Source organism: Homo sapiens, chromosome 6, assembly GCF_000001405.40.
Source record: "Homo sapiens chromosome 6, GRCh38.p14 Primary Assembly".
In the NCBI taxonomy this organism is placed as follows: Eukaryota; Metazoa; Chordata; class Mammalia; order Primates; family Hominidae; genus Homo; species Homo sapiens.
The window spans coordinates 81424732-81437451 of record NC_000006.12 but is presented as its reverse complement, the minus strand read 5'-3'; positions in this window follow the sequence as shown (position 1 = coordinate 81437451).

Sequence of the window (12720 nt, the reverse complement as noted above, 5' to 3'; positions counted from 1 at the left end):
CAACATGTTCTCAACTGTAACTGGGAGCTAAATAATGTGTACAAGTGGAGATAGGGTGTAGAATAATAAACACTGGAGACAAGGAGGGATGGAATGGTGGGAGGGGTTGGTGATAATAAATTACTTTATGGGTACAATGTACATTATTCAGATAATAGACACACTAAGAACCCAGACTTCACCAGTGTGCAATATATCCATGTAACCACATTGTACTAGTACCCCTTAAATTTATACAAATACATAAATAAATAAATAAATAAATAAATAAATAAATAAATAAGCTGCATGTTAGACCGTTGGAGATAACAGACATTTACAGGAGATTTAATTCAACAGCTACAGAATACACATTTTTTCCTCATCAGCACATGGGATTCTGTAGGATAGACCATATATTAGGACACAAAAAAAGTATCTCAACAAATTTTAAGTCAATTTATAAAGTATTTTCTCATAAAATGAGTTAGGGAGGATTCCCTCTTTTTCTATTGATTGGAATAGTTTCAAAAGCAATGGTACCAGTTCCTCCTTGTACCTCTGGTAGAATTCGGCTGTGAATCCATCTGGTCCTGGACTCTTTTTGGTTGGTAAGCTATTGATTATTGCCACAATTTCAGAGCCTGTTATTGGTCTATTCAGAGATTCAACTTCTTCCTGGCTTAGTCTTGGGAGGGTGTATGTGTCGAGGAATTTATCCATTTCTTCTAGATTTTCTAGTTTATTTGCATAGAGGTGTTTGTAGTATTCTCTGATGGTAGTTTGTATTTCTGTGGGATCGGTGGTGATATCCCCTTTATCATTTTCTATTTCGTCTATTTGATTCTTCTCTCTTTTCTTCTTGATTAGTCTTGCTAGCAGTCTATCAATTTTGGTGATCCTTTCAAAAAACCAGCTCCTGGATTCATTAATTTTTTGAAGGGTTTTTTGTGTCTCTATTTCCTTCAGTTCTGCTCTGATTTTAGTTATTTCTTGCCTTCTAGCAGCTTTTGAATGTGTTTGCTCTTGCTTTTCTAGTTCTTTTAATTGTGATGTTAGGGTGTCAATTTTTTATCTTTCCTGCTTTCTCTTGTGGGCATTTAGTGCTATAAATTTCCCTCTACACACTGCTTTGAATGTGTCCCAGAGACTCTGGTATGTTGTGTCTTTGGTCTCGTTGGTTTCAAAGAACATCTTTATTTCTGCCTTCATTTCGTTATGTACCCAGTAGTCATTCAGGAGCAGGTTGTTCAGTTTCCATGTAGTTGAGCAGTTTTGAGTGAGTTTCTTAATCCTGAGTTCTAGTTTGATTGCACTGTGGTCTGAGAGACAGTTTGTTATAATTTCTGTTCTTTTACATTTGCTGAGGAGAGCTTTACTTCCAACTATGTGGTCAATTTTGGAATAGGTGTGGTGTGGTGCTGAAAAAAAATGTATATTCTGTTGATTTGGGGTGGAGAGTTCTGTAGATGTCTATTAGGTCCGCTTGGTGCAGAGCTGAGTTCAATTCCTGGGTATCCTTGTTAACTTTCTGTCTCGTTGATCTGTCTAATATTGACTGTGGGGTGTTAAAGTCTCCCATTGTTATTGTGTGGGAGTCTAAGTCTCTTTGTAGGTCACTCAGGACTTGCTTTATGAATCTGGGTGCTCCTGTATTGGGTGCATATATATTTAGGATAGTTAGCTCTTCTTGTTGAATTGATCACTTTACCATTATGTAATGGCCTTCTTTGTTTCTTTTGATCTTTGTTGGTTTAAAGTCTGTTTTATCAGAGACTAGGATTGCAACCCCTGCCTTTTTTTGTTTTCCATTTGCTTGGTAGATCTTCCTCCATCCTTTTATTTTGAGCCTATGTGTGTCTCTGCACGTGAGATGGGTTTCCTGAATACAGCACACTGATGGGTCTTGACTCTTTATCCAATTTGCCAGTCTGTGTCTTTTAATTGGAGCATTTAGTCCATTTACATTTAAAGTTAATATTGTTATGTGTGAATTTTATCATGTCATTATAATGTTAACTGGTTATTTTGCTTGTTAGTTGATGCAGTTTCTTCCTAGCCTCTGTGGTCTTTACAGTTTGGCATGATTTTGCAGTGGCTGGTACTGGTTGTTCCTTTCCATGTTTAGTGCTTCCTTCAGGAGCTCTTTTAGGGCAGGCCTGGTGGTGACAAAATCTCTCAGCATTTGCTTATGTGTAAAGTATTTTATTTCTCCTTCACTTATGAAGCTTAGTTTGGCTGGATATGAAATTCTGGGTTGAAAATTCTTTTCTTTAAGAATGTTGAATATTGGCCCCCACTCTCTTCTGGCTTTTAGAGTTTCTGCCGAGAGTCCTGCTTGTTAGTGTGATGGGCTTCCCTTTGTGGGTAACCCGACCTTTCTCTCTGGCTGCCCTTAACATTTTTTCCTTCATTTCAACTTTGGTGAATCTGACAATTATGTGTCTTGGAGTTGCTCTTCTCGAGGAGTATCTTTGTGGCGTTCTCTGTATTTCCTGAATCTGAATGTTGGCCTGCCTTGCTAGATTGGGGAAGTTCTCCTGGATAATATCCTGCAGAGTGTTTTCCAACTTGGTTCCATTCTCCCCGTCACTTTCAGGTACAACAATCCGACATAGATTTGGTCTTTTCACATAGTCCCATATTTCTTGGAGGCTTTGTTCATTTCTTTTTATTCTTTTTGCTCTAAACTTCCCTTCTCACTTCATTTCATTCATTTCATCTTCCATCACTGGTACCCTTTCTTCCAGTTGATTGCATTGGCTCCTGAGGCTTCTGCATTCTTCATGTAGTTCTCGAGCCTTGGCTTTCAGCTCCATCAGCTCCTTTAAGCACTTCTCTGTATTGATTATTCTAGTTATACATTCATTTAAATTTTTTTTCAAAGTTTTTAACTTCTTTGCCTTGGTTTAAATTTCCTCCTGGAGCTCAGAGTAGTTTGATCGTCTGAAGCCTTCTTCTCTCAACTTGTCAAAGTCATTCTCCGTCCAGCTTTGTTCCATTGCTGGTGAGGAACAGCATTCCTTTGGAGCAGGAGAGGAACTCTGCTTTTTTAGAGTTGCCAGTTTTTCTGCTGTTTTTTCCCCATCTTTGTGGTTTTATCTACTTTTGGTCTTTGATGATGGTGATGTACAGATGGGTTTTTGGTGTGGATGTCCTTTCTGTTTGTTAGTTTTCCTTCTAACAGACAGGACCCTTAGCTGCAGGTCTGTTGGAGTTTGCAAGAGGTCCACTCCAGACCCTTTTTGCCTGGGTATCAGCCGCAGTGGCTGCAGAACAGCAGATTTTTGTGAACCGTGAATGCTGCTGTCTGATCGTTCCTCTGGAAGTTTTGTCTCAGAGGAGTGCCAGGGCGTGTGAGGTGTCAGTCTGCCCCTACTGGGGGATGCCTCCCAGTTAGGCTGCTTGGGGGTCAGGGGTCAGGGACCCACTTGAGGAGGCAGTCTGCCCGTTCTCAGATCTCCAGCTGCATGCTGGGAGAACCACTGCTCTCTTCAAAGCTGTCAGACAGGGACACTTAAGTCTGCAGAGGTTACTGCTGTCTTTTTGTTTGTCTGTGCCCTGCCCTCAGAGGTGGAGCCTACAGAGGCAGGCAGGCCTCCTTGAGCTGTGGTGGGCTCCATCCAGTTCGAGCTTCCTGGCTGCTTTGTTTACTTAAGCAAGCCTGGGCAATGGCGGGCACCCCTCCCCCAGCCTCGTTGCCGCCTTGCAGTTTGATCTCAGAGTGCTGTGCTAGCAATCAGCAAGACTCCATGGGCATAGGACCCTCCGAGCCAGGTGCAGGATATAATCTCCTGGTGCACCGTTTTTTAAGCCCATCGGAAAAGCGCAGTATTAGGGTGGGAGTGACCCGATTTTCCAGGTGCCCTCTGTCACCCCTTTCTTTGACTAGGAAAGGGAACTCCCTGACCCCTTGCACTTCCCAAGTGAGGCAATGCCTCGCCCTGCTTCGGCTCACGCATGGTGCGCTACACTGACTGTCCTGCGCCCACTGTCTGGCACTCCCTAGTGAGATGAACCCGGTACCTCAGATGGAAATGCAGAAATCACCCATCTTCTGTGTTGCTCACGCTGGGAGCTGTAGACTGGAGCTGTTCCTATTTGGCCATCTTGGTGGCCATCATCCTGATACCAAAGCCGGGCAGAGACACAACCAGAAAAGATAACTTTAGACCAATATCCTTGATGAACATTGATGCAAAAATCCTCAATAAAATACTGGCAAACCGAATCCAGCAGCACATGAAAAAGCTTATCCACCGTGATCAAGTGGGCTTCATCTCTGGGGTGCAAGGCTGGTTCAATATACGCAAATCAATAAATGTAATCCAGCATATAAACAGAACCAAAGACAAAAACCACATGATTATCTCAATAGATGCAGAAAAGGCCTTTGACAAAATTCAACAAGGCTTCATGCTAAAAATTCTCAATAAATTAGGTATTGATGGGATGTATCTCAAAATAATAAGAGCTATCTATGACAAACCCACAGCCAATATCATACTGAATGGGCAAAAACTGGAAGTATTCCCTTTGAAAACTGGCACAAGACAGAGATGCCCTCTCTCACCACTCCTATTCAACATAGAGTTGGAAGTTCTGGCCAGGGCAATCAGGCAGGAGAAGGAAATAAAGGGTATTCAATTAGGAAAAGAGGAAGTCAAATTGTCCCTGTTTGCACATGACATGATTGTATATTTAGAAAACCCCACTGTCTCACCCCAAAATCTCCTTAAGCTGATAAGCAACTTCAGCAAAGTCTCAGGATACAAAATCAATGTACAAAAATCACAAGCATTCTTATACTCCAATAACAGACAAACAGAGAGCCAAATCATGAGTGAACTACCACACACAATTGCTTCAAAGAGAATAAAATACCTAGGAATCCAACTTACAAGGGATGTGAAGGACCTCTTCAAGGAGAACTACAAACCACTGCTCAATGAAATAAAAGAGGATACAAACAAATGGAAGAACATTCCATGCTCATGGGTAGGAAGAATCAATATCGTGAAAATGGCCATACTGTCCAAGGTAATTTATAGATTGAATGCCATCCCCATCAAGCTACCAATGACTTTCCTCACAGAATTGGAAAAAACTGCTTTAAAGTTCCTATGGAACCAAAAAAGAGCCCGCATCGCCAAATCAATCCTAAGCCAAAAGAACAAAGCTGGAGGCATCATGCTACCTGACTTCAAACTATATTACAAGGCTACAGTAACCAAAGCAGCATGGTACTGGTACCAAAACAGAGATATAGATCAATGGAACAGAACAGAGCCCTCAGAAATAATGCTGCATATCTACAACTATCTGATCTTTGACAAACCTGCAAAAAACAAACAATGGGGGAAAGGATACCCTATTTAATAAATGGTGCTGGGAAAACTGGCTAGCCATATATAGAAAGCTGAAACTGGATCCCTCCCTTACACCTTATACAAAAATTAAATCAAGATGGATTAAAGACTTAAACTTTAGACCTAAAACCATAAAAACTCTAGAAGAAAACCTAGGCATTACCATTCAGGACATAAGCATGGGCAAGGACTTCATGTCTAAAACACCAAAAGCAATGGCAACAAAAGACAAAATTGGCAAATGGGATCTAATTAAACTAAAGAGCTTCTGCACAGCAAAAGAAACTACCATCAGAGTGAACAGGCAACCTACAAAATGGGAGAAAATTTTCGCAACCTACTCATCTGTCAAAGGGTTAATATCCAGAATCTACAGTGAACTCAAACAAATGTATAAGAAAAAAACAAACCACCCCAACAAAAAGTGGGCGAAGGACATGAACAGACACTTCTCAAAAGGAGATATTTATGCAGCCAAAAAACACCTAAAAAATGCTCATTATCACTGGCAATCAGAGAAATGCAAATCAAAACCACAATGAGATACCATCTCACACCACTTAGAAAGGCAATCATTAAAAAATCAGGAAACAAGAGGTGCTGGAGAGGATGTGGAGAAATAGGAACACTTTTACACTGTTGGTGGGACTGTAAACTCATTCAACCATTGCGGAAGTCAGTGTGGCGATTCCTCAGGGATCTAGAACTAGAAATACCATTTGACCCAGCCATCCCATTACTTTAGGTATATACTCAAAGGACTATAAATCATGCTGCTATAAAGACGTATGGACACGTATGTTTATTGTGGCACTATTCACAATAGCAAAGACTTGGAACCAACCCAAATGTCCAACAATGATTGACTGGATTAAGAAAATGTGGCACATATATACACCACAGAATACTATGCAGCCATAAAAAGTCATGAGTTCATGTCCTTTGTAGGGACATGGATGAAATTGGAAATCATCATTCTCAGTAAACTATCACAAGGACAAAAAACCAAACACCGCATGTTCTCACTCATAGGTGGGAATTGAACAATGAGAACACATGGACACAGGAAGGGGAACATCACACTCTGGGGACTGTTGTGGGGTGGGGGGATGGGGGAGGGATAGTATTAGGAGATATATCTAATGCTAAATGATGAGTTAATGGGTGCAGCACACCAACATGACACATGTATACATATGTAACAAACCTGCACATTGTGCACATGTACCCTAAAACTTAAAGTATAATAATAATAAAATAAAAAAATAAAAATAAAAATATAAAGTATTTTCTCAGACAACAGTGCAGTAAAGGTCAAAGTCAATAACAAGAGAACTTGAGAAACTATAAATACATAGAAACTAAGCAACATGCTCTTGAATGATCATTAGGTTAAGGACAAAATTAAGGAGAAAATCAAAAAAATTCTTGCAACAAATGAAAATTGAAACACAACATACCAAAAACATACGGGATGTGGAAAAGAAGGAAAATTTCCAGCAATAAATGCCTACATGGAAAAAATAGTAAGATTTCAAATAAACAATCTAACAATGCAACTCTATAAGCTAGATACACAAAAACAAACCAGACTCAAAATTAGTAAAATAAATAATAAGATCAGAGCAAAGCTAAATAAATACGGGAGATCAATCAAACAAACATTGGTTATTTTCAAAGGTAAACAAATTGATAAACTACTTGCTAGGCTAACCAAGAAAATAGAAAGAAGATCTAAATATACAAATTAGAAATGAAAAAGGAAACATTACAACTGATATCACTGAAATAAAAAGATAATAAAATAGTATTATGAACCACTATACACTAACAAACTAGAAAACCTAAAGGAAATGGACACATTTCTGGACACATACAACCCACCAATATGCAATCAGGAAGAAACAGACAACCTGAACAGGCCAATAATGAGTAATAAAATTGAGTCAATAATAATAAGTCTCCTAAGAAAGAAAAGTGCAGGACCAGATGGCTTCATCACTAAATTCTACCAAATTTTCAAAGAATAACTAACATCATTTTCCTCAAACTATTCCTAACAATTGAATAGGAGGGAAGTCTCACTACCTAATTGCACAATGCCAACATTACCCTGACACTAAAATGAGACAAGAATGACAAAAAAAAAGAGAAAGAAAGAAAAAGCACTAGATGCCAATATTCCTGATGAATATAAATGCAAAATAATTGAACAAATTGTAGGAAACCAATTTCAACAGCACATCAAAAAAAAATACACCATGATTAAGTGGGACTTATTCCAGGGATACTAGGATGGTTCAACATACACAAATGAATAAATGTGATACATTACATGAAAATAATGATGTACAAAGGCCATATATTTATCTCAGTAGATGCAGAAATCACATCCTATAAAATTCAACATCTTCTTATGATAAAAACTCTCAACGAATTAGGCATAGAAGAATAATGCCTCAACATAATAAAGGCCATATATGACAAACCCACAAGTAACATCCTACTGAATGAGGAAAAGGTGAAAGAACTTTCTCTAAGAGCTAGGACAACACAAGGATGCCCTCTTTCACCACTCTTATTCATCATAATACTGAAAGTCCTTGTAACAGAAATCAGACGAAGAAAAAAATATATCTGCATTGGAAAGAGGAAATCAAATGTATCTTTTTGCCAATGATATAATTTTATTTCTATAAAAATCTAAAGACTCTACCAAAAAACTATTAGATCTGATAAATCCAGTACAGTTGCAGAATATCAAATCAACATACAAAAATCAGTAGTGTCTCTATACATCACTGATGAATTAGCTGAGAGAAAATTCAAAAGGAAATTTCATTTAAAATAGCCCCCAAAATTAAAAAAAACCTAGGAATAAATTTAACCAAGGAGGTGAAAGATTTCTACAAGCAAAATTATGAAACTCTGATCATAGTAAATGAAGAGGACACAAAAAATGGAAAGACACCCCACGCTCATAAATCAGAGAAATTAATATCTTTAAAATGACTACTCAAAAAAATCTGAAGAGTCAATGCAATCTCTGTCAAAATACCAACACCATGTTTCACAGAAAAAGAAAAAGCTATTTTAAAATGTGCATAGAACCAATACAGAGCCCAGGTAGCCAAAGCAATCTAGAGCAAAAAGAACAAAGAAACACACTTCCTTACCTCAAAATATATTACAAGGATTTAGTAACCAAAATAGAATATTATTGGTATAAAAACAGACACACTTACAAATTGAACAGAATAGAGAAGCCAGAAACAAATCCATGTGTTTACAGAGAACTAATTTGCAACAAAGGCTCCAAGAACATCCACCGGAGTAAGGACACCCTCTTCAGTAAATGGTGCCGGGAAAATTGCAGAATGCAGAAGAATAAAACTGGACCCCTAACTCTGACCGTATACAAAAATCAACTTAAGATGGATTAAAGACTTAAACCTAAGAACTGAAACTATAAAACTACTAGAAGAAAACATTGTAGAAGCACTTCAAGATATTGGTCTTGGCAAAGATTTTATGGCTAAGACCTCAAAAACACAGACAACAAAAACTAAAATAGATAAATTGGACCATATTAACTACAAAGGCTTCTGCATAGCAAGAAAAGAGAGTAAAGAAACAACCCGTTGAATGGGGGAAAATATTTGAAAAACTAATCATTTGAAAAGGGACTAATAGGCAGAATATGCAAGATATTAAACAGTAAAAAAAATTAATAATCCCACTAAAAAAATGGCCAAAGGATTTGAGTAGACATTTCTCAAAAGAAAACATACAAAAATGCTCAATATCACAAATCATCATGGAAATTGAAATCAAAACCACAAGGACATATCATCTTACTCCAGGTAAAATGACTGATAGAAAGAGACAAAAATCAGTAGTGTTTCTGTACATCACTGATGAATTAGCTGAGATGTGGAGAAAAAGGAACACATGCATTGTTGGTGGGAATGTAAATTAATACAGTCTCTACAGAAAACAGTATGGAGATGTCTCAAAAATCTGAAAATCACACTACCATATGATACGACAATCCCATTACAGGATATTTATCCAGAGGAAAAGAAGTTAGTACCTTAAACGTGTATTTGCATTCACATGTTTACTGCAGCACTATTCACAATAGCAAAGAGATAAAATCAACCTAAATGTCCATCAGTGGATGAATGGATAAAGAAAATGTGCCATATATGCAATGGAATACTATTTGACTACAAAAAGGAATGAAATGTCATTTGCAGCAACATGAATGGGACTTGAGGTCATTATGTTAAGTGAAAAAGGCCAGGCACAGAAAGACAAATATCACATATTTTCAGCCATATGTGGGAGCCAAAAACATTCTTTTTGTCAGATGTGGTGGCATGCACCTATAGTCCCAGCTACTCATGTGGCTGAGGCAGGAGGATTTCTTGAGCCCAGGCATTTGAGGCCAATCTGGGCAACACAACAAGACCTAGTTTCTAAATTAAAACAGACAGACAGAAATAATGATGATCTTATGGAGGTAGAGAGTAGAATAGTAGAATGTTGATTACCAGGTGCTGGAAAGAGTGAGGAGGGTGAGATGAAAATAGATCAGTTAATTGGTAAAAACAGATAGTTAGATAGAAGTTCCAGTGTTCAATAGCACAGTAGAGTCACTATAGTTAAAAATAATTTATACCAGCACTTTGGGAGGCCGAGGCGGGCAGATCACGAGGTCAGGAGATCAAGACCATCCTGGCTAACACAGTGAAACCCCGTCTCTACTAAAAATACAAAAAATTAGCCAGGCGAGGTGGTGGGCGCCTGTAGTCCCAGCTACGCGGGAGGCTGAGGCAGGAAAATGGCGTGAACCCCAAGGGGCGGAGCTTGCAGTGAGCTGAAATGGCGCCACTGCACTCCAGCCTGGGCGACAGCGAGACTCCGTCTCAAAATAATAATAATAATAATAATAATAATAATAATAATAATAATAATAATAATTTATAGTTGTATTTCAAAATGGTTAGAATTTGTGAAATATTCTCAACACAAAGAAATGATAAATGTTTGAGATGATAGATGATCCTGAATACCCCGATTTCTTCATTATACATTGTATGCATGTATCGAAATGCCACATGTATCGAAATGCCACATGTACCTCATAAATATGTACAATTATTATGTGTCAATATAAAATAATTTTAAAAAAGAAAAGAGAAATAAAATAAACATCTTCACAGTACAGCCTTTGGGGGATAAAACTGAGTTAAAATTCTTTAGGGTGGTGACACTATGATTCTGTCAAGGAGTAGGGAGAGAACTAGGATGTGGATGGAAGAATTTATGATATTCATTCAAAAACTTTGATCCATTACTTGCCTATACTCTGAAATACGTGGAGCCTCTCATTTAGAGGTGAGTTTCCTTCACCGAGTCAAGCTAAGTATGTTACTAAAACATACCCAGATCTCTTCCTACAAAAAACGCATATCAAATAAAAAGATGAAATGAGATGATCTCCAAGGTCTCTTCCAGCTTTAGCATGTGAATTTGATGATAAGGGAGTTATTGTGTTTTTAATAAATAAAAATTAGGAAAATTTTGTTACAATAATGTAAAGCCTAAATTCCTTAAGGTCTTTGGAAGTTTTCCAAAGTGACATGACAATTAAGTCAATTGAAAGCCAGAATTCCAGATGCTTCACAGGGGAAACACTGTGTGAAGGCATCCACAGTAAATGTTTAAGCTTCAGCTTATGAGGTGGTTTATTCAGCATAAAAATTTTCTGTGGGTCAGAGCAATTTCTGTTTTAGTGCTTCAAATCAAACACACTCTGAGGTTTAGAGATGAAAAATAAATATTTGCAAACAGTGGTTGAATCAGGGAGACTGTTCACTCTGGTTCTCTTTGAGGATTTTCAAATCTTCTATTTTATTACTATTTCTGAATTTACCAATAAAAACAGTCCCCTTGGCCACCAAGAAGGGATGTTAGAAGGAGCTATTATCCAGTTTCGTGAAATGTTAACAGAAGAGATGTAGAGCCTAAGAGGGTCCTTCAAAGGCCCAACATCTCAACACGTATGGCCCCTTTGCAATTGGCTGTCAATCATCAGACAGACTATTGCATCAACGCCTTTTAGAAAAGGAATATTGAATAACAGAGACATTTCTTACAATTCTTACTAAACTTTAAACTTGATTTAAGTATTATATAAGATATACTCCCTAGGATAGTTAAATAATCAAAATATATAACGTAGTTATATATTTTTATGGCATGGTAATGCTTTTAGAATGGATTAGACCAACATAAAGGCTTCCTCATTTATTTTACACATTTTGAGCAAAATATACATATGCCTCAAAACTCGTGTTAATTCTTTTAGATAGACTAATTCATGATGCTTTTTGTTTTGACTGTCACTCCTTTTTTTTTTTTTTTTTTTTTTTTTGCAGTGTGTTAAAGGATAAGGGCACACAGAAAGAAAAAATGGGAACTATATCGAAAATAATTTGAAGTTGGTAATTTTACCTCACATAGTATATGTGAAGTAGGTTGGTGGGGGAGCAGAAAATAGAAAGATCAATCAGTTTACTACACAGTGTTGAAGAGCTTAAAATTGCGACTATGACATTCTCTTTTTGTAAATGGCACTTTGGTTAGAGCAAATCTTGACTGTCTGAAATACCTGTATTCCTGAATTTAAAATTATTCTAAATATGACTTATTCCTGAGGAATGGAATAAGCCCAACATGAAGGCAGATATTTCTTTTGGTTTTAGGACTCCAAATGACTTTCTGTTCATATTATTGAAAGTACTATTTGCTCAGTATCTATATGAAAGAGTATCAAATGCAGAATATGAATAATTCTTGTGGTTGGAGACCTCAGTGCACTTTACCCCAGCCACTGATTTTCAATTTGTGTATGAGTTAGATGTGAATAGGGTTTCCAGGCCTTAGTGGTGTGGTGGGGAGGGGCGGGCACGGCAGGTGTTTATACTACTTTATTCCACGTATTAGTCTGAATTCTCCAGACAAACAGAACAATACTGTTTATAGGCAAACATACACACACACACACACACACACACACACACACTCATGGAGGCTGAGAAGTCCTAAGATATGCAGTCTGCAAGCTGGTGATGCAGGAGAACTGATGGTATAAATTCCAGTCTTGCTCTGAGTCCAAAGGCAGGAGAAAAACCAATGTCCCAGCTCAAAGACAGTCAGGCAGAGAGACCATATTCTCCCTTACTCAATCTTTTGTTCCATTTAGGCCTTTCATGGATTATATGCTAACTATCACATTGGGGAGGGCAATCTGCCTTACTTAGTCTATGGATTCAAATGTTAATATCATCAAATTCCCCACAGA